Genomic DNA, 27,313 nt, shown 5'->3' with positions numbered 1-27,313 from the left:
CACAAAATCTGAATAAATGACAGTGAAGACCAGTAGTCGTCATGTTTAGCAAATGCACACAGATGATGTGGATGCTTTGGGCTCCACGGACCAGTTTTGCAGAACACTTGAACATACGATGACAAGAGCTGATGGCGGAGGCCGTGTCTCATGTGCTTTGGGGCAGCTTCCTTCATCTCTGTGTTATCTCTCAACATTTGGAAAATGGAAATTATCACAAGGACCAGAAGGGTGTTGGCCAGGATGGTATCAGTGTTGAAAAGCCAGATCTCATATCAAAATCCTTAACTTCATGACACCTGCAAAAGCTCTTAAAACCCTTTATCCAAATAAGGTCACATCCATAGGTTCTGCAGGTTAGGACTTAGATGTATCTTTTGGGGGCCACCCGTCAACCCCACTACATGTGGAACCAAGGACACTGAGGGACAGATGTATTTTGTTACTACAGAACCCTTAGAAAACTAATACACTTGGCTTGTGGGTGCATCACTGCAATCTCTGCCGCCGTCTTTACATCACCTTCTTCTCTGTGTTTAGTGTCTACCTCCCTCTGCCTCACTCTTATAAGGACACCTGCCGTGGCGTTTGGGGCCGACCTTAAATCTAGGATATGCTCATCTTGAAATTCTTAGTTTTATGACATTTGCAAAACCCCTCTTTCCAAATAAGGTTGCAGTCAGAGCTTCTGGGGGTTAGGACATCCTCTTAAGTAATCCCCTCATGGGAAACCACGGCAGCGTTATTTCCTCTTCATCTTACAGCATTCACTGGGAATGACGGCATTGTGGTTTTGAGCCTCTGGACTGTGGGTGCCTGCAGCCCAGGTCACAGAAAGGGGCCGCCGGACTTCTGCAGCTCTGTGTCCTCTATCTGGAGCCCACAGGCGTGCCCCTTTGATGACACACTCTCTGTGCTGCACAGTCTGGCTGTTCACCAAACTGTTTGGAGCTTTCTGCTATGTCCCGGGTAAGAGGGTCTATTCACCCCATGCTTGAAAGACTAGGAACCAAACAGAGTTCCACTCACCTGCATCAACATGGGGAAGGGTCCTCCTTGTCTGCAGGTGGCTAAGGAGGCTCAGAGCCAGGAGTTGGCTTGCGCAAGCCTGCCTGCCTTGGAACCCAGGGGTGTCTGATGACAGAGTGTGGGCTCCTCCCAGCTCCAACCTGGCTTACTCCTCAGAGGAGAGGTGGGGTATCCAGGGAGGGTGAAGGGGTGGGGTATCCAGGGAAGCATCCCCCTGTTGCCACCTGAGTTAGTCTTGGAGACCTTCAAACTCTGCTGTTTCAGGAACGGCTAAACTCACCTCATATTCTAATGTGCCAGACAGACTCTCTCTCTTAATCTTCAGGGCTATCCTATGAAGGACAAATTGAGACAGTCCCATTTTACAGATGAAAAAAGAGAGGCTCAGAGGAATGAAATGGCTCCACGCCAAGAACAGGCAACTAACGGTGAGGGAATAAGTGTTCGGGTCCCCTAAACTTCATTGTTGAAATCCTAATCCCTAAGGAGATGTTATTAGAAGGGAGCATGTTTAGGAGGTGATGAGGTTATGAGGGTGGAGCCCTCATGCATGCAATTGGTGCTTTTGCAAAAGAAGCCCGAGAGAGAGGACCCTGCCCCCACCACCATGTGAGGACACAGCAAGAAGACCCCATTTATGAATCAGAAAATCCACTCTCACCGGACACCAAATCTGTCAGTACCCAGGTCCTGGACTTGCCAGCCTCAGAACTGTGAGAAATAAAATTTTTGTTGTTTATAAGCCACCCAGCTTAGGGTATTTTGATAGAGCAGCCAGAAGGGACTAAGACAATAAGAAACATATATCTGGGGCCGGGCGCAGTAGCTCATGCCTTTAATCCCAGCACTTTGGGAGGCTAAGGCAGGCGGATCACTTGAGGCCAGGAGTTCGAGACCAGCCTGGCCAACACGGTGAAACCCCGTCTCTACTAAAAGTACAAAAATTAGCTGGGTGTGGTGACACACGCCTGTAATCCCGGCTACTCGGGAGGCTGAGGCAGGAGAATCGCTTGAACCTGGGAGGTGGAGGTTGCAGTGAGCCGAGATTGCGCCACTGCACTCCAGCCGGGATGACACAGCAAGACTCTGTCTCAAAAAATAAAAAATAAAAAGAAAGAAATATGTATTTGGGCCAGGTGAGGTGGTTTACAACTGTAATTCCAGTGCTTTGGGAGGTCGAGGTGGGAGAATTGCTTGAGACTAGGAGTTTGAGACAATATAGGCAATATATAGTGAGCCTGGGCAATATAGTGAGCTCCTGTCTCTACAAAAAATAATAAAATTAGCTGGGCACAGTGGCACAGCCTTTATTTCCAGCTACTCAGGAGGCTAAGGCGGGAGGATCGCTTGAGCCTGGGAGGTTGAGGCTGCAGTGAACAGTGACTGCACCACTGCATTCCAGCCTGGGCCACAGAGTGAAGACTTGTCTAAAAATAAATAAATATATATTTGTTTTCTGCCCCTAATTTCTAGCACAGAGCTCCTAAAATTCTTGTAACTTCCTGAGTGAGGAGGTGAGAAGAACATATTTTGTTATTCATAATTAGCCCCTACCAGCCATACCTGAGTTTATGCTAATGAGGAGGATCTGGGCGGATCGGGGATGGTTGCCAGAGAGACGAACCCTGTGATCCCAGTGGAATTTTTAGCCTCATGCTCTAAATTCCAAGAAGGGAGAGGGGCTGGAGATTGACTAATCACCAGTGGCCAATGATTTAATCAATCATGCTATAAAATAAAAATAAAATCCTAAGGCCCTCCCTCCACCCCACTCACCATCACCACCACTGACTCAGCAAGACCCTTTCTTAGCCAAAGGGATCCCAGAGAAACCTAAAAACTGAGTTCCTGGCCATGACTTCAAGGGAGGTGGGACACGCCTTCTTATGCCCCTTCTCTTTTGGAGTTTAGGAACACAGAAGACCAGCATTATAGTTAAAATAGACGTCGTAAGATTGACAAAACAGACTCTTTGTGATGATAAGATACCAAATTACATACAAGACCTAAGGCAAGTGTTAAGTCACTTCTAAGGGCCATCAATCTTGCTACATCCCTCATCCTTATCTTAAAACATTCTTTTTTGCAGACTCCAGGTTTTGCAGACTCCAGGTTTTAAGCAGACCTTACTCCTTTAACCAACTGCAAATTAAAGAAGCCCTGAATCCATCTGTAACCTGTCAGCCCGCCCCTCTTCAAGATATTCTGCCTTTTCAGGCCAAACCAATGTATGTCTTCCATGTACTGATTTATGACTTTGCCTGTAACTCCTTCCTCCCTAAAATGCATCAAATCAATTTTTACTTTAAGTTCTGGGATACATGGGCAGAATGTGCAGGTTTGTTACATAGGTATATGTGTGCCATGGTGGTTTGCTGCACCATCGTCTAGGTTTTAAGCCCTGCATGCATTAGGTATTTGTCCTAATACTCTCCCTCCCTTATCTCCCACACCCCCTCCCTTGACAGGCTCCGGTGTGTGATGTTCCCCTCCCTGTGTCCATGTGTTCTCATTGTTCAACTCATGATCGCATGAGTGAGAACATGCGGTGTTTCGTTTTCTGTTCCTGTGTTACTTTGCTGAAAATGATAGCTTCCAGCTTCATCCATGTCCCTGCAAAAGACATGAACTCATTCTTTTTTATGGCTGCAACATCAAACCAAACTTAATCTGGCCAACCTTGGGCACACCACGGTCACTGAAATTGTCCCAGAATAAACTTCTTTAAAATATTTTACAGAGTCCAGGTGTGGTGGCTCACGCCAAAAATCCCAGCACTTTGGGAAGCTGAGGCAGGAGGATCACTTGAGCCCAGAAGTTTGAGACCAGCCTGGGTAACCTAGGGAGACCCCATCTCTACAAAAAATTAAAAAAGTAGCTAGGTGTGGTGGCACACGCCTATAGCCCCAACTACTCAAGAAACTGAGGTGGGAGGATCACCTGAGCCCAGAAGGTTGAGGCTGCAGTGAGCCATGATTGTGCCACTGCACTCCAGAGTGAGATCTTGACTCCAAAAATTAATAAATAAATAAAAATAAATACAATAAAATACTTTATAGAGTTTGGTTTTTCTGTTAACAATGCCCAGGTAAAGGAACATCCACAAAAACCCTAAACAATAGGGTTCCGAGAAGTTCCAGGTTGATGAAGACGTCCACATGACGCCATCGCAGACAGAAGCTCTCACACTTGGAACCCTTCTGGACCTCACCTTATGTTCCCCCTCATCTGGCCACTCACCTGTAACCTTTATAATACTCTTTATAATGAACTGGTACATGGAAGTAAAGCACCCCCCTGAGTTCTGTGAGCTGTGATAGCAAATTATGGAATGTCAGGAAGGGGTTGTGGGACCCCTGATTTGTAGCCAAGTCAGATAGAAGTGTGGGTACCCTGTGGTCCCAGTGCCTGTGACTGGCATGTGAAGTCGGGGGCACTCCCGTGGGACTGAGCCCTCAACCTGTGGGGGCTGTGCTAACTCCAGGGAGTTAGTGTCAGAACTGAAGTGAGTTGTTACACATGCAGTTGCTGTCCAGAGAGTTGGAGAATTGATTGTTGGTGGGAATGCAGCCCGGCCTCTTTGGTGTCAGAAGTGTGGAGTGGAGAAACAGGGTCTTCTTGCATTTATTCATGTTTTTCGAGACACAGTTTCACTCTGTCCCCCAGGCTGGAGTGCAGTGGTGCAATCTTGGCTCACTCCAACCTCCACCTCCCGGGTTCAAGCGATTCTCCTGCCTCAGCCTCCCGAGTAGCTGGGATTACAGGCGCCCAGCACCACACCCAGCTAATTTTTGTATTTTTGGTAGAGGCGGGATTTCATCATGTTGGCCAGGCTGGCCTCCAACTCCTGACCTCACATGATCCGCCTGCTTCGGCTTCTCAAAGTGCTGGGATTACAGGCGTGAGCCACCACGCCTGGCCCAGGGTTTTCTTTCAAACCTACTCCTCCCTGGCAGCCCCAGAGGTCCAGGCCACCAGCCCTGGGCCCTGGATCCCCACCTTTGGATCTATTTTCTGAATCTGATTGCTGTGTTTGTCCTACAGAGACTCCTCTGCCCTGACTGTGGTGGAGGCCGATGCAGGAGGCAAGGTGGACAATGGGAACTTACAGAGAGGAGGGGGTAACCCACAGAGCTAAACCACATGTGCAAGAGGAACCTGGGCTTGGGAAGTTTTCTGTCAGGGCTCGGTGTTGCGGGAAGCCAGGGACCCCAAATGGAGGGACCGGCTGAAGCCATGGCAGAAGAACGTAGATTGCGAAGATTTCATAGACATTTATTAGTTCCCCAAATTAATACTTTTGTAATTTCTTATGCCTGCCTTTACTGCAATCTCTAAACATAAATTGTAAAGATTTCATGGACACTTATCACTTCCCCAATCAATACCCTTGTGATTTCCTATGCCTGTCTTTACTTTAATCTCTTAATCCTGTCAACTGAGGAGGATGTATATCGCCTCAGGACCCTGTAATAATTGCATTAACTGCACAAATTGTAGATCATGTGTGTTTGAGCAATATGAAATGTGGGCACCTTGAAAAAAGAACGGGATAACAGCAGTTGTTCAGGGAATAAGAGAGATAATCTTAAACTCTGACCGCTGGTGAGCCAGGCAGAACAGAGCCATATTTCTCTTCTTTCAAAAGCAAATGGGAGAAATATCGCTGAATTCTTTTTCTCAGCATGGAACATCCCTGGGAAAGAGAATACGCGCCTGGAGGTATAGGCTTATAAATATCCCCCCCAGGTGCTCCTGTCTCTTATGGTCGAGACTGCAGGGGTGAAATAGACTCCAGTCTCCCATAGCGCTCGCTCCCAGGCTTATTTGGAAGAGCAAATTCCCTCCTAATAAATTTTGATCAGACCAGTTGATCTCAAAACCCTGTCTCCTGATAAGATGTTATCAATGACAATGGTGCCTGAAACTTCATTAGCAATTTTAATTTTGCCTCGGTCCTGCGGTCCTGTGATCTCGCCCTGCCTCCACTTGCCTTGTGATATTCTATTACCTTGTAAAGTACGTGACCTCTGTGACCCACACCTATTCGCACGCTCCCTCCCCTTTTGAAAATCCCTAATAAAAACTTGCTGGTTTTTGTGGCTTGTGGGGCATCACGGAACCTACCGACATGTGATGTCTCCCCCGGACACCCAGCTTTAAAATTTCCCTCTTTTGTACTCTGTCCCTTTATTTCTCAAGCTGGCCAACGCTTAAGGAAAATAGAAAAGAACCTACATGAATATCGGGGCAGATTCCCTGATAGCTCGGAACGCAGTAGAGCTGAGAATCTAGGGGTCCAGGCCTCATCTTGAGCCCACTGGATGCCAGCCCCCCCACCCCCTCCTCCCTCAGACCCAGGAGTCCAGGTCCAGCCCCTTCTCCCTCAGACCCCAGAGTCTAGGCCCCCAGCCCCTCCTCCCTCAGACCCAGAAGTCCAGGTCCCAGGCCCTCCTCCCTCAGATCCAGGAGTTCAGGTCCAGCCCCTCCTCCCTTAGTCCCGGGAGTCCAGGTCCAGCCCCTCCTTCCTCAGACCAGGGAATTCAGATCCCAGCCGCTCCTCCCTCAGACTCAGGAATCCAGGCTCTCAGATCTTAGTCTAAGCCCCCAGCTCCTCCTTCCTCTGTGACTGGCAGGGCATAGCCTAGTGACCTAATGCCTACCACCTGATTTCTGTTACCCAGCCATGCTGCCTGTGTGCTGTATCACTTGTCCCAGGAAATGACTCTTCTTGTGCCTCAGTTTCCCTATCTGGAAAATGGGTCTCCTCCTCTCTTGCTTCCCTGGAGAGGATAAACAGCTTTTGCAAAAGGAAGCCCCTCCCTCCCTCTCCCTCTGTCTGGCTCTTACTGTCTCTGTTTCTCTCCAGGGAAAGTGGCAGGAGAGATGGTGCATGCTGGGGTAGAAAGTGCCTTCAACTTGTTACAGGCAGGGCTCTCCCCCTCCAGGCCTTTCTCTCCCTCCTCCCAGCTCTGGAAGTCCTACAGTTTCTCCCAGAGGCACTAGCTGGAGGCAGAAGGTGGATGTACAGTCATCATTGCTGGCTAGGCTCCCTCCCTCCCTCCCTGGATTTCGGCAGAATCATGGAAGCCTAGGGGTTTCCCAGAATAGGCATGTGGGGGAGAAAAGGTCCCGTCTAACTCCAGCCCATCCAAGGTTCTGAGTTCCTGGAAGTCCAGAGGCAGTCTCTTTACAGACTTGGGGTCTTTGCTGATCCTGGAGTCTTTTTCCTCTAAGGTCCCACCTCCCCGGAGCTCCTCAACCCATCCTCCCAGGACTGGCCACTCTGAGTGGTGTCCATAGAACTATTACGCAGGAGTCGGTTGGGGGTCCCAGCTGCTAGGCCCTCTCTCCCCAACTTCTCTCCTCCCCCTCTTGCCTATCCTTCCCTCTCTCTCTCCCTCCTCCATTCTCCTCCTCCTCTTCTGATCTTCCTCCCCCTCCTTCTCTCTTTCCCTCCCTCCTCCTCTCCTTCCTCCTTCTTCCCTTATCTTTCCTTCCCCTCCTTCCTTCCTCTCCATTTTTTTTTCCCCCAGACAGAGTCGCTTTGTCGCCTAGGCTGGAGTGCAGTGGCGTGATCTCGGCTCATTGCAAACTCCACCTCCCGGGTTCAAGCGATTCTCCTGCCTCAGCCTCCTGAGTAGCTGGGACTACAGGCATGCACCACCACGCCCACCTAATTTTTGTGTTTTTAGTAGAGACGGGGTTTCACCATGTCAGCTAGGCTAGTCTTGAACTCCTGACCTCAAGTGCTCCACCTGCCTTGGCCTCCCAAAGTGCTGGGATTACAGGCGTGAGCCACCGTGCCCGGTCGCTCTCCTTTTTCTTTCCCCTCTCCATCTACCAATCTGACTTTCTATCCTGACCTCACACATTGTTCAACACATATTTGTTGAGCACCTACCTAGACACAGGTCCAGGCTCTGAGGAATGAGCCATGAACAAACCAGATAAAGACAGCTGCCTGTCTAGAGCTTGCATTCGAACCAGGAAGACACACATTACACAAAAAAGATACTAAACGTACCTTATGCAGGTTATACGTTATATAGGAAGGGGACCAATGCTATGGGGAAAAAGAAAAAGCAGAAGAGAGTAAAGGGGGTCAGGAATCCAGGGGTAGGGCAGTTTTTCGCTGTTGAATAGATGGTCGTGGAAGCCAGCTTCTGTCTTTCATTCCTCTCCCTCCCTCCTTTTCTCCTCTGTCTCTCGGTATCTAGATCCCCGCAGTGTGCATTTCCCTTCCCAATCCAGGACACCTGGCAAAGAAACCATCTACCGGGATTCAAGCATTTAATAAAACAAGGATCTCTTCAGGTTACTGCCCAGGGGCCCCTTGCCCTCACTGGTTCCCCAGTAGGTACCTGCCTGAGATGGAGCAAAGCGAGGAGCAACTGTAGCCAGAACTAGCTGAGGTTAGGGGCTTGGCAAGTTAGCCCGCCATGTCTGTGTCCATCCCCCAGTCTTCTTGGTCCTGGCTCCTCGGGGTCCTGCACCTCTGCCCAACCTCACTCACACTTCCTCTCTAGCCTGGAAAAGCCCCAGGGATCTCTGATGCAACCCCACCCCCCAGCAACTCATCCTGGCCCAGAGCCCCCTGTCTCTCCCTCCAGTTTGTCCCTTACTCAGACAAAGAGCTGATCCTGCCCCTCCCTTGCTCACAGCCCTTCCATGGCTCCCCATTGCCACCAGAGCAAAGTCCTAGCCTCTGATTCCTGCATTCAAAACCCGACACGTTGCATGTGTTAAATAGCTTGATTTAGCCATTTCACAACGAATATATATATATGTATATAGCAAATGTCATGTTGTATACCATAAATATGTATAATTGTTACTTAGTTTAAAAAAAATTTTTTTTTGAGACGGGAGGCTGGAGTGCAGTGGCGCAATCTTCGTTCACTGCAACCTCCGCCTCCCATTCAAGTGACTCTCCCACCTCAGTCTCCTGAGTAGCTGGGATTACAGGTGCACGCCACCACACCCGGCTAACTTTTGCATTTTTAGTATAGACGGGGTTTCACCATTTTGGACAGGCTGGTCTCAAACTCCTGACCTCAAGTGATCTGCCCGCCTTGGCCTCCCAAAGTGCTGGGATTACAGGCATAAGCCACTGTGCCTGGCCAAAAAAAATTTTTTTAAACCTAAATGAGCGGACCTCACTAGGGACCCTACAATCCCCCAGCCCCTTGTTTCACCCTTTGTGCTTCACAGCATCAATCCGCCCTTACTTTTTTGACTGGCCACACCATTTCTTGCCTTGGATGCCCCTTTCTTGCCCCACCGTCCACCACCACCCTGACCACGGCTAACGCCTCATCAGCCAGCATCACCTCCTCCAGGAAGCCCTCCCTGACTCTTGGGCTGGGTTGGTGCATCCTTGTACTGTTTTGTGGCCCTCTGTTTACACAGCTGTCTTCTCCACCAGATTGGCATCTCCCCAAGGGCAGGGCCCAGGGCTGAGTCATCTCTGTGTGCCCGGCATCGCCCAGCCCAGCCCTGTCCACCAGGGCTCAGGAGATGTCCCCACAATGAATGAATGTTCTCTCCTCTGCCTTTGCTCCATTTTTGCCTTACCTCTCCCACCCTGTGCTCCTTCTGTCCAGGTATTCTGTAAGCTGTACCCTGAGGTTTCCTGATGATGGCTGAAATGCTGGGAAGGCCACTGTGGACCCAGGGCAGGAACTGGAGAGCAGCCACCAGAGGAATGGGGGTTTCTAGGAGCCATGGGTGTTAGCGAGGGGTGCGGTGTCCCTACCTGTCCCTCCAACAACAGCCCCGGCCTGCTGTGGGAGTGTTCAGCTTCACTGCTCCCTGTCTTTCAGCACTTGTCTGGGCTGCTTCCAGCCTTGGTCATCTCTTCCTGCAAGAAATTCTGGGGGCTGGACATGTAGGTCTAAGGGAGAAGGAAGCTGGGAGTTGAGACTCCTGGGTCTGAGGGAGGAGGGGATGGGGGCCTGGGCCTGGGCTCCAGGGTCTGAGGGAGGAGGGGATGGGGGCCTGGACTCCTGGGTCTGAGGGAGGAGGAGATGGAGTCTGGACTCCTGGGTCTGAGGGAGGAGGGGATGGGGCCTGGACTCCTGGGTCTGAGGGAGGAGGGGATGGGGCCTGGACTCCTGGGTCTGAGGGAGGAGGGGATGGGGCCTGGACTCCTGGGTCTGAGGGAGGCGGGGCTGGCAGCCTGGACTCCTGGGTCTGAGGGAGGGGTGCTGGGGACCTGGACTTCTGGGTCTGAGGGAGGTGGGGCTGGGGGCCTGGACTCCTGGGTCTCAGGGAGGAGGGACTGGGGGTCTGGACCCTGGGTCTGAGGGATGAGGAACTCTGAACCTGTACTCCTGGGTCTGAAGGAGGAGGGGCTGGGTGTCTGGGATCCTGGGTCTGAGGGAGGAGGGACATGGGAACCTGGACTCCTGGGCCTGAGAGAGGAAGGGCTGGGGTCTGGACTCTCGGGTCTGAAGGAGGAGGGTGCTGGGAACCTGGACTCCTGGGTCTTAGAGGAGGGAACTGTTGAGGATTAAAGCCCTGGTTATCCTTCCTCAACCGCACTCTGGTTTTAGAAACATCTGGTTTTATACAGCTGCTCCACCCGAGCAGGGCGGGGTGGGGGCTGGGCAGCCAAATGCCCCACTTCTGGGGAGGAGCCTGCGCTGCCCCCTCCCACTGGGCGGAGGACTCACCCTCCCCTTCTGCTCTGGGCTGGCCTCAGATCATCTGAGGACCCATCATCCTGACACAGCCAGACACCAGGCAGCCCGGCTCCCGGCAACAGCGTCAGACACAGCCCGGCCCGCCCTGGTGGGTGGGAAGGGCGTTCGAGCTCCTTGGGAATGCACCTTCTCCCTGACAGGCCCAGGCAGAGGCTTGGCCTGGCGCAGCCTCCTCGGGGAAAACCCCAGGGTGTGAGGACTTGGTGTGAGGACTTGGTGTCTGGCAGGGGAGAGCTCCGGGACAGGCTGGAAGAGATGGAACTGCAGGGAGAGACGAAGATGTAGAAACAGAGAAATGGAGAGAAACTGAATGAGAGAGACAGAGACAGAGAAACACATACAGAGATAGAGCCTTACAAAGAGATAGGTGCGGTGGCTCACGCCTGTAATCCCAACACTTTGGAAGGCCAAGGCAGATGGATCACTTGAGGTCAGGAGTTGGAGACCAGCCTGGCCTACATAGTGAAACCCCATCTCTACTAAAAATACAAAAAATTAGCCAGGTGTGGTGGTGGGCGCTTGTAGTTCCAGCTACTCGGGAGGCTAAGGCAGGAGAATCGCTTGAACCCGGGAGGCGGAGGTTGCAGTGAGCCGAGCTCACGCCACTGCACTCCAGCCTAGGTGAGAGAGTGAGACTCCGTCTCAAAAAAAAAAAAAAAAAAAGAGAGAGATGGGGATGCAGAGAGACGGAAGGAGGATAGAGACAGAGCTAGAGAGGGAGGGAGATAGAGGGAAAAAGAGACAGAGAGAAAGAGACACACACACATGGACACACAGTGAGAAAGTCAGGGAGAGGCACTCAGAAAGAAAGAGAGCCACACAAGAAGAAAGTCAGGGAGACTTCAGAAATGCAAAGGGACAGACACTCCCAGGTAAAAGCAGAGAGAGAATGGCTGTGAGGGGGGATGAGGAGGAGAAACAGACAGGAATACACAGAGGCAGAGACCCAAATAGAGGGACCGAGAAACAGAGATGGGGTGACAGATACAAAATGACAGAGATTTGGGGAGGGACAGACGAGGAGAGAGAAGCACGGGGGAATTTCTCTCTGCTGCTCCATGTCTTTCAGCCTGTCCTGGAGCTGGCCCGTGCCAGACACCAAAGGTCGTTGGAGTCACAGGCAGGGAGAAAAGAACGAGGCAGCTACCGAGGCAGCTACCAAGGCCGAAAGTGAGACATCAATAGTTCACAGTAAGAGGAGCAGAGAGAAGAACAGAATTAGATACAGATAGTTTTTTTAAAAAATTCATGGAAAGAAGGGCATGTAAACAGACATTTATCACAGATCTGGTCCTGAGGGGCTGGGGTTCGGGCACCCCAGGTCCCGCATCTCTTTTCACCCTTCCTCTGACTCAGTTTCCCTGATGGGTGACAGCACTGACAGACCCCGGCTGGCTCCCCAGGGTCAGCTGACCGACAACTCTCTGTGTTCATCCCTGAGTCCCTGGGGATACAAATCCCAGCGCCCCAGCTCTCCACCCCAGACCCTGGTGCACACACGCAGACCCACGTCAGTTAGGCGCTGAATGGACAGATGTTCACTCACAGCTCCGGTTCCAGGCAGCCGTGCCTCGGGCCAGCGTACACACAGGCACACCCACAGCACGCACGTGTGTGAGTTTCGTTCCATCTGCCAGTTGCTGAGACATGTCCCTGGGGGGCCCAACCCAGAGATGGATTCTGGGGACAGGAGAGGCGGCTGTGGGGAGAAGCAGGGCGGGGGTGACTGGGGAAGGTGAGAAGGGGGAGGTGGGGAGAGCTTTAAAGCAAGAAGAGAAAGAAATGAGGGTGAGAGGAGGCAAGAGAAGTGGAGAGGAAGAAAGGGATGGAGAGAAAGACAGAAACTTGGAGAAATGTGGTAATGGGGAGAGAGATGAGGGTACCAACAAAGAGATGAGGAGAAATAGTGGGTTAGGGAGAAAGAAAGGGATGGAGGGAAATACAGGGATAGGGGATGGGGGGATGAGGGGAACCCCCAAAATGCAAGTGAGGTGGAAGAGAAAAATCAGGGGAGACAAGGGACGAGAGGGGGGAGGAAGAGAGAAGAAGACATAGAGGAGGGAGGGAGAGGAGGGGGAGTGATGGCAGAGAGGACTAGAGGAGGGGCGCGGGTAGACATGGGGGCCTGGGAAGGGAGGCCCGTCTGGCTGAGGGGGGTGGGAGTAATAGCGGGAAGCGGGTGGAGCTGCCCGGCTGGGCCGTGACCTCAGAGCCCCTGGCCCAGCTTAGCCTGACTGACGTCAGCGCTCGCTCCCGCCCCCGCCTGCGCTGGTCTTCAAATGACCCCCCTCCAGCTCTCTGGCCACAGAGAGGCTGGGAGAGCAAGCCGGAGAGAAGAGAGAGCCCGGCCAGACCCACTGCGATGAGACAGGTGTGTGTGTGTGTGTGTGTGTGTGTGTGTGTGTGTGTGTATACAGCCATGTGGGGAAAACTACTGCCATATGTGTGACCACGTGTGTTGGGGAACTGTGTGTGCATGATTTCATGTGTGTATCCATGTGCCTGACAGTGACCATATGTGTGTAGGGGACAGTGAGCATGTGAGGCTGAGTGTGCAGGTCTGTGTATACATTGCCCTGTGTGAGCGGCCATCCCAAGTACATGTAGGTGAGACGTGCCATGTCCGTATTTCTGTATCTGCGTATCTTGCTACAAACTTGTGTATGTCTATGTTCCCTGGGAGGCAGAGAGAAAGAGGGAGTGCGACAGTGAGCGAATGAAAGAGACTGAGTGAGAAAGAGAGTTGGATTTGCCTGTGGCACATGGGAATGGATTTCTGTTTCATGCGTTCAATAGCTATTAAGTTGAACCAAATGAAATCGCCGATACTGAGCCACTCTAAACTTGGAAGAATAGCAATTTCATCTGGTTCAGTATCAGCTTGACAGTCACCTACTATTTCTCTTGAAATCTTCCCTGTGCATCCCATTGCCCCAGACTCTCAGTTGGGGCTCTGTGTGTTTGTGGCCACGTGGACATCCTTTGCTGGTGTTGCTTTTTCCTGCTGAGGGGTGTGTGTCTGCAGGTTCACCTGTGTGGCCGTCGGTGGGGGTCACGGGATCGCTGTGTTTGGCCTGAGTGGGTGTCTCGGGTCATCCTGTAGAACACGAGTAATTTCATTCTGTGTGTCACTCATCATGTGTGAGTTCACGTGTGGGGGAGTGTGTCTACACGTGTGTTCATCTGTGTTTCTGGAATCAACTCTCTGGATCCCCAGCATGAATTGAGCCATCCCTAGGAACTCAGGCAAGGCCAGGTTTGAAGCAAAGGAAGAGAGAAGGGGGATTCGAGAAGAAAGAATAATGTTTAATGTTGAGAGTTTAAAAGCTGTACCTCAGTTTTGTCCTCTAGAAATGTAACGAAAACCACAATATCTAATTTAAAATTTTCTTGTGGCCACATTTGAAAAAGTAAAAACAAACAGGTGAAATTAATTTTAATAATATATTTTTATTTAACCCAGTGTGTCAGGGGCCAGCACATTTTTTTAAATAAAGGGCCCAATATTAAATATTTGAGGCTTTTGGGGGCCATCTGGTCTCTTTTGAAAGTACTCAACTTCGATGTGGTAAATGTAGAATCAGCCACAGATGATGTATAAACAAATGAATGTGGTTGTATGCAAATAAAACTTCCTTTAAGGACACTGAAATTTGAATTTCATATTTTTCATGCTCCACAAACTATTATTCTTCTTTTGGCTTTCAAAAACCATCTAAAAACACACACACAAATTCTTAGCCTGCAGGCTGCAGCAGGTCTTAGCATGCCGACCCCTGCTACATATAAGATATGATCATTTCAATATGTAATCAATACATAAATGTTAATGAGCTATTTTACTTTCTTTTCCCCAGACTTGGCCTTCAAAATCCAGTGTGTTCATAGCACTTCTCACTTAGATGCTACCTTTTCACTGGAAATACCTAATCTGTGTTTAGATTTTATAAGATTTACAATTATAAAAGGGGCATCGTAGATGCAACTTGTTCCAGACATATTTAAAATCTTTCCAATAACCGAATCAAGTAAGAGTTTTTAAATTTAAATGAATTAAAATTAAATAAAATTTAAAACTCAGTTCCTCGGTGATACTGGCTGCATTTCAAGTACTCGGTAGACACATGTGGCTGCTGACACCTGTGTTGGACACAAAGATCTACATCTTAACGACGCATTTAAATAACCCACAGTAAGCCTTGAGGCAGGAACTGGTGGCATAGGAGGCAGTTTAGCGTAGAGGGGACGCCAGAGCCAGACTGCCTGAGTTTTACTTCTGACTCTGCTTATTACCTGAGTGACCTTGGGTAAAAGTATTTGCCTCTCAGTGTCTCAGTTTCCTCATCTGTAACAGAAGACAGTGAAGGTACCTGCCTTATAAGATTGTTGTAGAGACCGGGTGCAGTAGCTCACGCCTATAATCCCAGCACTTTAGGGGGCCAAGGCAGGAGGATCGCTAGAGCCTGGGAGTTCGAGACCAACTTGAGAAACACAGCAAGACCCTGTCTCTATTATTATTATTATTATTTCGAGATGGAGTCTCGCACTGTCACCCAGGCTGAAGTGTAGTGGTGCCATCTTGGCTCACTGCAACCTCCACCTCAGGGGTTCAAGCAGTTCTCCTGCCTTAGCCTTCTGAGGAGCTGAGACTACAGTCGTGCGCCACCAAGCCTGGCTAATTTTTGTATTTTGCTTTCGCCATGTTAGCCAGGCTAATCTCGAACTCCTGACCTCAGGTGATCCACCCGCCTCCGCCTCCCAAAGTGCTGGGATTACAGGCGTGAGCCACAGTTTCTGGCTCCCTGTCTCAATTTAAAAAAAAATTTATATATATATATTAAGGTTGTTGTACAGTAGTGTCTGGCACACAGAAAGTACTTTTTCCTCTGATTCTGGGCTCTTCCAGCAACATTTACTGGGGCACCTGGCTCTGCTGGGGAGTTGGGCAGTGGAAAAGGAGAACCAGGCTATGCCTCTGGAAAGTCAGAGAGAAGAGTCCTCTACCATGGGCTGCTGATCTTGTGCAAGCCACTCCTTCTGGCCAATCAGTCCTCAGTTTGGCCACCTGTATGGTGGCAGAGCACTATCTGTCCCCCAGGGCTCTCCCGAGGGCTAGAGGTTTAGAGATTCAGTTCCTAGGGTTCAAATCCAGGTTCCTCTGCTTTCCAGGGACAACCTTGGGCAAATTGCTGAACCTCTGTGTGACTCAGTTGCCTCATCTGTACAACGGGGATAATAATAACAGTACCTACCTTACAGCGCTGTTGTAAAGATTAAAATAAATTCATTCATCTTAAAGGCTTAGAGCAGGGACTGGTACACAGCATTTTGGTTTTTTAGTATGTGTTATTATTATTACTGTCTCAACCCTAAGAAACCTTTGATTGGGAGATAAATCCTCATTGTATGTGCCACTAAGAAAGAGGAGGGAAACGCCCTAGTAATTAAATTGTGACACTCCATCGCATGCAATCATCCTCACGGATTTAAGAGATTTCAAAACGTGGAAAAAAGTTGTATTGGAAGAAACAAAATCAGGCTGGGCTTGGTGGCTCATGCCTGTATTCATAGCACTTTGGGAGACTGGAGCCTAGGAGACATAGTGAGACCCCTCCTCTAATTGTTTTTTTTTTAATTAGCAAGGCATAGTGACTCCAGCCTTGTGGTCCTAGCTTCTTGGGAGACTGAGGTGAGAGAATCGCCAGAGCCTAGGAGTTAGAAGCTGCAGTGAGCTATGATGGTGCCACTGCACCCCAGCCTGGGCGACAGAGCAAGACCCTGTCTATAAAAATAAATAATAATGAAAAGAAGGAATCTAATCAGCATGAAGCCTAGATAGCTATTTGCTCCAATTATTTTCGTTAATGAAAATAATTTTGGGGCCCGGCGAGGTAGCTCATGCCTGTAATCCCAGCACTTAGGAAGGCCGGGGCAGGCAAGTCACTTGAGCCCAGGGGTTCCAGACCAGCCTAGGTAATGTAGGGAGACCCCCGGCTCTACCAAAAATTTAAAAATTAGCCAGGAGTTGTGGCACACTCTTTGTAGTCCCAGCTACTCGGGAGGCTGAGGTGGGAGGCTGAGCCTGAGCTCGGGAAGCTGAGGCTGCAGTGAGCCTAGATGGCGACACTAGGCTGGAGTGAGACCCTGTCTCAAAAGAAAAAAAAAACAAAAAACGAAAGGAGAGAGAAAGGGAGAGCGAGAGCGAGAGAGAGAGAGAGACAGCGAGACAGACACAGAGAGAGAGAAAGATAAAGAGAAGGAAGGACGGAGGGAGGGAGAGAGAGAGGGAGGGGAGGGAAAGGGAAGGAGGGAAGGAAGGAAAGGATTTTTAATCTTCTCTCGGAGGAGGCTCATGCGCCCGGGACTCATGCCCCTTCCTTTCCCCTCTCGCTCCCAGCAGGACGCGCCCAAGCCCACTCCTGCAGCCTGCCGCTGCTCCGGCCTGGCCCGGAGGGTGCTGACCATCGCCTTCGCCCTGCTCATCCTGGGCCTCATGACCTGGGCCTACGCCGCCGGGGTGCCGCTGGCCTCCGATCGCTACGGCCTCCTGGCCTTCGGCCTCTACGGGGCCTTCCTTTCAGCGCACCTGGTGGCGCAGAGCCTCTTCGCGTACCTGGAGCACCGGCGGGTGGCGGCGGCGGCGCGGGGGCCGCTGGATGCAGCCACCGCGCGCAGTGTGGCGCTGACCATCTCCGCCTACCAGGAGGACCCCGCGTACCTGCGCCAGTGCCTGGCGTCCGCCCGCGCCCTGCTGTACCCGCGCGCGCGGCTGCGCGTCCTCATGGTGGTGGATGGCAACCGCGCCGAGGACCTCTACATGGTCGACATGTTCCGCGAGGTCTTCGCTGACGAGGACCCCGCCACGTACGTGTGGGACGGCAACTACCACCAGCCCTGGGAACCCGCGGCGGCGGGCGCGGTGGGCGCCGGAGCCTATCGGGAGGTGGAGGCGGAGGATCCTGGGCGGCTGGCAGTGGAGGCGCTGGTGAGGACTCGCAGGTGCGTGTGCGTGGCGCAGCGCTGGGGCGGCAAGCGCGAGGTCATGTACACAGCCTTCAAGGCGCTCGGAGATTCGGTGGACTACGTGCAGGTGAGTAGAGGCGCCTTCAGCCCACTCGTGACCCGAACACCCAAATCCCACTTTCCTGGGGTCTTTCCTTCAATGTACAGATTTGAATGACTCTCTCCCTTTCTTTATTCTTTCATCCATGCAGTGGAGAGATTCTTTCCTTCACTCATTCTTTCATCCATCCATCTATCCCTTTATCCAATATGGAGATCATTCGTTCATTTATTCATTCATTTACCCATTCAATGTAGAGGCATTCTTTCCTTTTTTCATTCACCTACGCATTCCAGGAAGAGACAATTTCACTCATTCTTGACTCATCCATTCATCTATCCATCCATTCAATATAGAGATTCATTTGTTCATTCATCCACTGATTCAGTTATCCATCCATTCAATGTAAAATTAAACCCTTCCAGCCGGCCACTTTGAGAGGCTGAGGTGGGCGGATCACCTGAGGTCAGGAGTTCTAGACTAGCCTGGCCAACATGGTGAAACCCTGTCTCTACTAAAAATACAAAAATTAGCCGAGCATGGTGGCGAATGCCTATAATCCCAGCTACTCGGGAGGCTGAGGGAGGAGAATCTTTTGAACCCGGGAGGCGGAGGGTGCGGTGAGCCGAGATTGCACCATTGCACTCCAGCCTGGGCAACAAGAGCAAAACTCCGTCTCAAATAAATAAATAAATAAAAGTTCTTCCTTACTTCATTCAGTGTAGAAATTCTTTTTCTTTACTCACTCATGGATATACCATCTATCCATCCAATATGGAGATCATTTACTCATTTATTCATTCATTTATCTATTAAATGTGGAGATTTGTTCCCTTTCTTCTTTCCTTCTTCCCTCCTTCCTTTCCCCTCCTTCAGTGTTGAGATTCTTTCATTCAACCACTCAGCCATCTATCTATGTATTCAATATACAGATTAATTTCATTTATTTATCTCATTCATCCATCCCATTTGGTGTAGCAATCTTTTTTTTTTTTTGAGATGGAATCTCACTCCGTTGCCCAGGCTGGAGTGCAATGGTTGAATCTCGGCTCACTGCAACCTCTGTCTCCTGGGTTCAAGTGATTCTCCCACCTCAGCCTCCCCAGTAGCTGGTATTACAGGCACCTGTCATCATGCCTGGCTAATTTTTGTATTTTTGCAGGGACAGGGTTTCACCATGTTGGCTAGGCTGGTCTCAAACTCCTGACCTCAGGTGATCTGCCCACTTCAGCCTCCCAAAGTGCTGGGATTACAGGTGTGAGCCACCACACCTGGCCTGGTGTAGCAATTCTAATGCATTATATTAGTTTTCCATTGCTGCATAACAAGTTACCATATGTTTGGCAGCTTGAACGAAACACATTTATTATCTCATAGTTTCTATGAGCCCAGAGTCAGCACAGCTCAACTGGATCCTTTTTTCAGGATATCACCAGGTTGCAATCAAGGTGTCAGCTGGAGCTGGGTCTTTTTTAAGGCTTGGGGTTATCTTTCAAGCGTATGTATTTGTTGGTTGGCAGAATTCACTTTCTTGCAGCCATAGAACTCATGGTAGCAGTAGCTTGCCTCTTCAAGGCCAGCAAGGAGACTCTCTGACTTCTAGGTCTGCTTTTAAAGGTTCTCCTGACTAGGTCAGGCCCACCCAGGATAATCTCCTTTTGATTAACTTATAGTCAAGAGATTTGGGGACTTAATTACATTGCAAAACCTATTCACCATTTCCATATTAGGTAATATAATCATGGCAGTTATATCCCATAACTTCTGCCATATTCTATTGCTTAGTAGCAAGTTAGGGGTCTCACTCACACACCAGAGGAGATGGTATATGTCTTATTGTTCATGTTCATACAAGGATGTGCATCTTGGAGTACATGTTAAACTGTGACTACACATTGAAAATGACTTTAAAAAATCTCAAAATTATGTTCAGATCGGTTGCAGAGTGCCCCAGCTGCATTGCACCCCTTGATGCCTTCCTCTCAAGCATCAGCCTGATGCAGGGGTCTGTGCTGATCCTGGCCCCTTCCACCTTACAGGTCTGTGACTCGGACACAAGGTTGGACCCCATGGCACTGCTGGAGCTCGTGCGGGTACTGGACGAGGACCCCCGGGTAGGGGCTGTTGGTGGGGACGTGCGGATCCTTAACCCTCTGGACTCCTGGGTCAGCTTCCTAAGCAGCCTGCGATACTGGGTAGCCTTCAATGTGGAGCGGGCTTGTCAGAGCTACTTCCACTGTGTATCCTGCATCAGCGGTCCTCTAGGTAAGCAGGGGCAGAGATTGGGAGGGCTGTGGATGGGGTGGAAAGGGAGAAGGGAAGCCGGATGGGGCTGAGGATGTGACTGGGGTTGGGAACAAAGATGCAGCAGGGCAGGAATTGGGGATGGGATAAAACTGGAAGCTGGCGGTGAGGATGCTGCTTGGGCTCAAGCTGAGTTTGGTGTGGGGAGTGAGGTTGGAAAAAGGATATGGATGACGATTGGGGCTGGGGCTGGGGAAGAAGATGGGATAGGCTTGGAGTCAAAGACAGAGTTGGAGCCAGGTTTGAGGTTGCAGTGGGTTTTGGATGGGGCTGAGAATGGATATGGGATTGGTGATGAGACTGGGGTGGGCAGGTTTGCAGTCACAGTGGGTATAGTTCAATGACAGGCAAGTTGGAGTGCGTATGAGGTTGAGGACAGGATTCGGGCTGGAGATGGGATTGGAGATAGTGCTGAGATTGAGATTATGATGACTGAGGATGGGGTTGGAACTGGAGATGGGGTTGGGGCTGGAAACAGCATTGGAGTTGGTGTTGGTGACAGCAGAGGCTGACACTCTTTCACACCTCCCCTCCACCCAGGCCTATATAGGAATAACCTCTTGCAGCAGTTTCTTGAGGCCTGGTACAACCAGAAGTTCCTGGGTACCCACTGTACTTTTGGGGATGACCGGCACCTCACCAACCGCATGCTCAGCATGGGTTATGCTACCAAGTAAGCTGAGGGGACCAGGTGGTCGGGTATGTGTGGAGGCCAATGAATATCCTAGCGTGTGTGCATGCTGAGAGTTCTCCAAATCCAAAGTAACTCACCAGACAATGGGCTCTATCAAGTGAGACTTTAGAGGAGAGAGGAGGATACCATAATGGGCAGAGGGGCCATTTGCATTGAGCCAATGGACTCTACCAAGTGAGATATTAGGGAAGAGGGGAAGATACTATAAGGGACAAGGCTGGCATTTGCATTGAACCATGGAATGCGGTGAACTCTACCAAGAGAGGCAAGGTGAGGGTAGAGAATTCCACCTAGAATTGAGATAGGGTGAGTTGGTTCTGTCATGGAGACCAAGGTAGCACAGTGGGGAGTGAAGTAGGAAGGGCAAGAGACAAATGGATAGAGTGGGATCTAACTAGTGAGAGAGCCACGGAGAAAGAAACAAGTGAGAGAAGAGGAGCACCTGAACTCTAGTAAGTTCTTCAAGAGAAGACAAGTAATTCCATGAGACTCAGGGGAGGATGATCTAGACCAAGTGAAGTTCAGGGGAGAGTGATTTCTGCAAAGCCAGGTCCACTGAAATACCCAGAGGAAACTTGGGATAATCCAGGGGAATCCATGCATTAATTCACTCAACAAATATTCACTAGGTGCCTAGAATGTTTAAGCTGCGGGGATACAGCAATAGGCAGACAGGACACCAATTGATTACATCAGTTGGGGAGACACACAAGAAATAAATAAGTAGAACATACAGTATGTTCATGATATGTGTTATGGAGATAAATAATGCCGGGCAAGGGTGGTGGATAGGAAGTTTTGGGGTTGGGGGTGAAGTGTTAAGTGGAGTGCCTGAGGTAGGATGGGGCTCAAGGCTGAGAATAGTGTGGCTGGAGCACTGAACTGGGGGAGTATTAGGAGAGCAGGATGGAGAGTTAAGGAGTGGTCCACTCATGAAAGGCTTATAGGTCTAAGGACTCTGACTAAGATGAGGGAGCCATGGGAGGGTTTTAAGCAGAGAAGTGACACGTTGTAATGGGATCCCTCTGGCAGCCGTTTTGGGTACAGACTACAAAAGGCAAGGTCGGAAGCAGGGAGGCCACTGAGGATGCCAAGTGACACAGGGGAAGGAGTCTGGACACTGTCAAGTAATGCCCAGGATTCTCCTCTTGTGTGGGCTTGGCTGGAAACCATGCAGGGATTGATTAATGATGTCTGCCACAAAACAGGAAGGAGGCCTGATGGTTCCCTTGAGAAGTTCTAATACATAGACTACCCTGGGTAGCAACCACACCCATCTTGCTCCTCCCTATAGGGCCTGCCAGTAATAGTAAGCATGGTAGTATTAGTAATATGTTAGTGATAGTATTAGTAATAGTGTCAGTAACCAACATGATATTAGTAACAGCAATAGTAATGGTAACAGCAATAGTCATAGTAAAAACGGTAGTAGCTAACATTTATTGAGCAAATACTATCTACTGGTCCTAAGCACTTGGCGTTTAATTTCATTCAATCCTTACAGTATCCTTGTCTTATGAGAGCCTTTTTTTTTTTCTTAGATAGAGTCTTGCTGTGTTGCTCAGGCTCAGGCTGGAGTGCAGGGGCACGATCATGGCTCACTGCAGCCTCAAACTCCTGAGCTCAAGTGATTCCCCCATCTCAGCCTCCCAAATAGCTGGGACTACAGGCCACCACGCCCGGCTAATTTTTTTTTTTTTTTTTTTTTTTTAGAGATGGGGTCTCACTATGTTGCCTAGGCTGATCTCAAACTCTTAGCCTCAAGTGATCCCCCTACCTCAGCCTCCTAAAGTGCTGGGATTACAGGCATGAGCCATTGCATCCCACCCATTGGTGCTTATTTATTTATTTATTTATTTATTTAGTAGAGATGGGGTCTTGCTATGTTGCCCAGGCTGGTCTTGAACTCCTTATCCCTCAGCCTCCCAAAGTGCTGGGATTACAGGAGTGAGCCACCGCGTCCAGGCCTAGGAACCATTATCCACCCTATTCTACACATGAGAACACTGAGGCCTAGAGAGGTTAAGAAACTCGCCCCCAGTGGCCGTCCACAGTGGTCATTTCTGCCTCCAGAATCCTGCCCAGGCCCCAGGGAGCACGCGATGATGCCCTCATTCCTCGCCCCCGTGCAGGTACACCTCCAGGTCCCGCTGCTACTCAGAGACGCCCTCGTCCTTCCTGCGGTGGCTGAGCCAGCAGACACGCTGGTCCAAGTCGTACTTCCGTGAGTGGCTGTACAACGCGCTCTGGTGGCACCGGCACCATGCGTGGATGACCTACGAGGCGGTGGTCTCCGGCCTGTTCCCCTTCTTCGTGGCGGCCACTGTGCTGCGTCTGTTCTACGCGGGCCGCCCTTGGGCGCTGCTGTGGGTGCTGCTGTGCGTGCAGGGCGTGGCACTGGCCAAGGCGGCCTTCGCGGCCTGGCTGCGGGGCTGCCTGCGCATGGTGCTTCTGTCGCTCTACGCGCCCCTCTACATGTGTGGCCTCCTGCCTGCCAAGTTCCTGGCGCTAGTCACCATGAACCAGAGTGGCTGGGGCACCTCGGGCCGGCGGAAGCTGGCCGCTAACTACGTCCCTCTGCTGCCCCTGGCGCTCTGGGCGCTGCTGCTGCTTGGGGGCCTGGTCCGCAGCGTAGCACACGAGGCCAGGGCCGACTGGAGCGGCCCTTCCCGCGCAGCCGAGGCCTACCACTTGGCCGCGGGGGCCGGCGCCTACGTGGGCTACTGGGTGGCCATGTTGACGCTGTACTGGGTGGGCGTGCGGAGGCTTTGCCGGCGGCGGACCGGGGGCTACCGCGTCCAGGTGTGAGTCCAGCCACGCGGATGCCGCCTCAAGGGTCTTCAGGGGAGGCCAGAGGAGAGCTGCTGGGCCCCGAGCCACGAACTTGCTGGGTGGTTCTCTGGGCCTCAGTTTCCCTCCTCTGCAAAACGAGGGGGTCAGCCCAAGATTCTTCAGTCTGGACTATATTGGGACTGGGACTTCTGGGTCTCCAGGGAGGGTATTTATTGGTCAGGGTGTGGGATCTGAGGAGTGGAGGGAAAGGGTCCTGCTTTCTCCTCGTTCTTATTTAATCTCCATTTCTACTGTGTGATCAGGATGTAATAAAGAATTTTATTTATTTTCCCCCAGCCTCCACCTTTTTGAGAACTAAGGGGAATGGATGATTGAGAATTGGGGACGCTGGGCTCAGTGCTGGGTGCTAGCCGTTTGAACCTGGACAAGACACTCTCCTTCCTTGGAACCTGGGGTTCCCTCTTTTGAAAACAGGGATTATTAATCCCCTGGGGCAGGGTTGGTGTGAGGGTTAAATTACTCAACTCATTCACGGGTACTTACCAAGCACCTGCCACCTGCCGCACACTGGCAGGTACTGCAGATGGTGCTTTTGTCTCTGGTCCGTCTACTTAGAAGGGTAACACATCCCTTTTCTCCTCAAACCTCCAGCACCTCCTCCCCTCCCTCTTAGCTGGCTTCCTATCTCACTGAGAAAATAGGGGTTAAAAAAGAAAACTTCTGCTGGAGTCCCCATCTCCACGTCTTCCCACTCACTTGCCCCTGTGTCCATACACTCCACCTTCTTCCTGTTGCTGAGGGTGACCTGTCTGTGCTCCAAGCCAGTGCCAACCTCTTCCATCAGGGCACCAGACCCTATGTCCTCTTTGTCTGCTCAAAGACTTCACTCCAGCAGTTCTTCCCACCTGATCCTCCGTCAGTTCTCCTTTCGCTTCGGAGCCTTTCCCATCAGCATCTGAACATATTGTTACTCTCCCACTTTTAAGACCCCCACTCTTGACCTCAGTTTCCCTGTAAACAACTGTTCCATTTCTATTTCGGTTAATAGCAAATTTCCTTGGGAGAGTTGTCCATATTTGTCTCCAATTTATCTCGCACAGAGTTCACTCACTCAAAGTGTACAATTTGGCTGAGCGCGGTGGCTCACACCTGTAATCCCAGCACTTTGGGAGGCCGAGGCAGGGAGACCACTTGAGGTCACGAGTTCGAGACCAGCGTGGCCAACATGGTGAAACCCCATCTCTACTAAAAATACAAAAAAAATTAGCCAGGCATGGTGGCATGTGCCTGTAATCCCAGCTACTCAGGAGGCTGAGGCAGGACAATCGCTTGAACCTGGGAGGCAGAGGTTTCAGTGAGCTGAGATCGTGCCACTGCACTCCAGCCTGGGTGACAGAATGAGACTCCATCTAAAAAAAAGAAGTGTACAAGTCAATGGTTTTTAGTTAAGTTTACAGGTTTGCACAGCCACCACCATAATCTAATTTTAGAACATTTTCATCACCCCACAAAAGGAACCCCATATCCATTGGCAGCTCACTTCTCCTTTCTCACCCCTTTATCCCCCTAAGACCTGGGCAGCTGCTCATCTGCTTTCTCTTTATAGATTTACCTATTCTGGCTATTTCATATCAATGCAATCCTGCAGTATGTGCTTTTTTTTGTGACTTCCTTCATTTAGCATATCAAGGTTCATCCATGTTGTTGCATGTATCACTGATTCATTCCTTTTTATGGCCAAATAATAGTCCACAGTATGGCTATATTGCATTGTGTTTATGTATTTATCAGTTGATGGACATTTGGGATATCTCCACCTCTTGGCTGTATGAATGATGCTACTATGAACATTCGTGTGCAAGTTTTGGTGTGGGCACAGCTTTTTAATTTTCTTGGGTATATACTTAGAAATTGAATTGCTGGGTTTATGTTAATTCTATGTTTAATTTTTTTGAGGAACTGCTAGCCTGTTTTGCACAGGGACTGTACCGTTTTACATTCCCACCAGCAATGTATGAGGGTTCTAATTTCTCTACACCCTTGCTACATTTTGTATTACCCGACTTTTTGATTACAGCCTTCCTGGCAGGTGTGAAGTGGCTTTCATTGTGGTTTTGATTTGCCCTTCTCTAATGACTAATGATGTTGACTTCCATTAACTCTTAAACCCAAGCCAATCAGATGGTCATGCTTTCCCCTAGCTCTCCATAGAAACTGCTCTTGTCAAGTTCATCAATGATATCCACGTTGCTAAAACCAATAGCCAATTCTCAGCCCTATTTCATGATTTGGCTGTGTCTGACACAGTTGATCACTCTTCCTTGAAACGCTTTCTTTACTTGACTTCCTTTTTTTCTTTTTTGAGATAGGGTCTTGCTCTGTCGCCCAGGCTGGAGTTCAGTGGTGTGAACTCAGCTCACTGCAACCTCTGCGTCCCAGGTTCAAGCAATTCTCCTGCCTCAGCCTCCCAAGTAGCTGGGATTACAGGCATGTGCCACCACACCCAGCTGATTTTTGTATTTTTAGTAGAGACAGGGTTTCACCATGTTGGCCAGGCTGGTCTCAAACTCGTGACCTCAAGTGATCCACCAGCCTCGGCTTCCCAAAGTGCTGGGATTACAGGTGTGAGCCACCAAGCATAGCTACTTGGCTTTCAGGAAGCCACAGCTACCTTGCTTTCCTCCACCTTGTTTTCTTTCCTGGATCCTCTCATCCTCGTCTCTTACCCATCTATACCCATTTCCCTTGTGCCTCCAGTGTTATGGCTCTGAATACTTCATTCATGCTCCATGTATGGAGACGGGACTCCCAAACAGATCTTCAGACCAGACTTCGCCCTTAAATTCCAGGCTTGTATATCCAACTGCCTCCAAGACATTTCTACTTGGATGCCTAATAGGCATCTCAAACCAGACTCCTAATATCTTCTCGCCTTCCTCCCTGCTAATCCCCGTGAAACCTGCTCCTCCATCAGTCTATCTCAGTAAACAGAACTTCATCCTCCCAGCTGCTCAGGCCAAAAAATGCTAGAGCTGTAACTGTCCATCACTAGCCACTACCACATGGAAGTCTAAAACATTTTTTTCCCATTCATGCATTCTTTGATTCATCAGTCACCAAAACATTCACCAAGCACCTACTGAATGCCACACACTCTGCCAAGTCTGCAAGTATAGAAACAATTAAGAAGCTTGCCTTCAAGGAGCTCTTAGTCAAGTAAACAAAGAGTTAAGAGTGAGCCACAGGTAAGAATACTCACATAGGCCTCTATGATGCTGTTGTCATAGAGCAGGAACTATGTAATGTTAAAGTTATTACAGCTACCTGAGTTGATTTTTTTCTTATTTTTATTTTTTTTGACACCCTTTCTTGCCTGAAGAGCTACCTAAGATTATGGATTCAGTTCCTCAGTCGCACAGGTCACCTTTCACATGCTTCACGGCCACACGTGGCTGGTGCTGCGCTACTGGACGGTGCAGATCTAGAATATTTCCAACATGGCAGAGGGTTTGACTGCACAGTGCCACTGTGGTTACTCTTGGCCTCTCTCCTTCTCTCATCCAACATTCTGAACCATCAGCAAATCCCACTGATTCTACCTTCAAGACATATCTAGAGCCACTGCTCCTCACGACCTTGTTCCCCAGGGCTGCATCTCGTCCCTGGATTACTGCAGCACCTCACAGCGATGCCTGCTTCCACTTTGCCCCAGTCTGTTAGCCA

At 50.1% G+C, this 27,313-nt stretch overlaps 2 protein-coding genes and 1 long non-coding RNA gene across 12 annotated transcripts in view, besides 1 other annotated feature; 2 read left to right on the top strand and 1 right to left on the bottom strand.

The window, feature by feature from the left end:
* The first annotated feature begins 862 nt into the window (after nucleotides 1-862).
* On the top strand, nucleotides 863-3,570 carry LOC124904754 (uncharacterized). Of its 7 annotated transcripts, none has more exons than XR_007067317.1 (4): nucleotides 863-969; nucleotides 1,604-1,742; nucleotides 2,503-2,543; nucleotides 2,941-3,570. It is a non-coding gene; the product is annotated as an uncharacterized LOC124904754 (long non-coding RNA). The 7 variants fall into 7 exon arrangements; XR_007067314.1 differs by lacking the exon at nucleotides 2,503-2,543 and adding an exon at nucleotides 1,355-1,457 and having other exon boundaries at nucleotides 3,119-3,570; XR_007067315.1 differs by lacking the exon at nucleotides 863-969 and having other exon boundaries at nucleotides 999-1,742.
* Nucleotides 2,902-3,196: a silencer, noted in NCBI's record as "tiled region #4853; HepG2 Repressive non-DNase unmatched - State 22:ReprW". NCBI's record gives its function as "represses a minimal TATA promoter and a strong SV40 promoter by Sharpr-MPRA in HepG2 cells {active_cell/tissue: HepG2}" and the evidence as "EXISTENCE:reporter gene assay evidence [ECO:0000049][PMID:27701403]".
* A 9,470-nt stretch (nucleotides 3,571-13,040) lies between the features above and the next one.
* Nucleotides 13,041-23,920, top strand: HAS1 (hyaluronan synthase 1). Of its 4 annotated transcripts, none has more exons than NM_001297436.2 (5): nucleotides 13,041-13,107; nucleotides 17,137-17,826; nucleotides 19,839-20,064; nucleotides 20,644-20,776; nucleotides 22,930-23,920. In NM_001297436.2, exons 1-5 carry the CDS (start codon nucleotides 13,099-13,101, stop codon nucleotides 23,603-23,605), a joined length of 1,734 nt encoding a protein of 577 aa, NP_001284365.1. In that variant the 5' UTR covers nucleotides 13,041-13,098; the 3' UTR covers nucleotides 23,606-23,920. The 4 variants fall into 4 exon arrangements, with proteins under 4 accessions (NP_001284365.1, NP_001514.2, XP_047294675.1 ...); NM_001523.4 differs by having other exon boundaries at nucleotides 17,134-17,826; XM_047438719.1 differs by lacking the exon at nucleotides 20,644-20,776.
* SPACA6 (sperm acrosome associated 6) overlaps nucleotides 23,889-27,313 on the bottom strand; it is a 30,458-nt gene continuing 27,033 nt past the window's right edge. Inside the window, exon 10 of the mRNA XM_017026299.3 lies at nucleotides 23,889-24,999. The gene's annotated coding sequence lies outside the window, so the exon portion shown is untranslated. The remainder of the gene's footprint in view (nucleotides 25,000-27,313) is intronic.

Source organism: Homo sapiens, chromosome 19 (assembly GCF_000001405.40).
Source record: "Homo sapiens chromosome 19, GRCh38.p14 Primary Assembly".
In the NCBI taxonomy this organism is placed as follows: Eukaryota; Metazoa; Chordata; class Mammalia; order Primates; family Hominidae; genus Homo; species Homo sapiens.
Note: the sequence above shows the minus strand (reverse complement) of the source record. Positions and strands in the feature narration are given on the sequence as shown.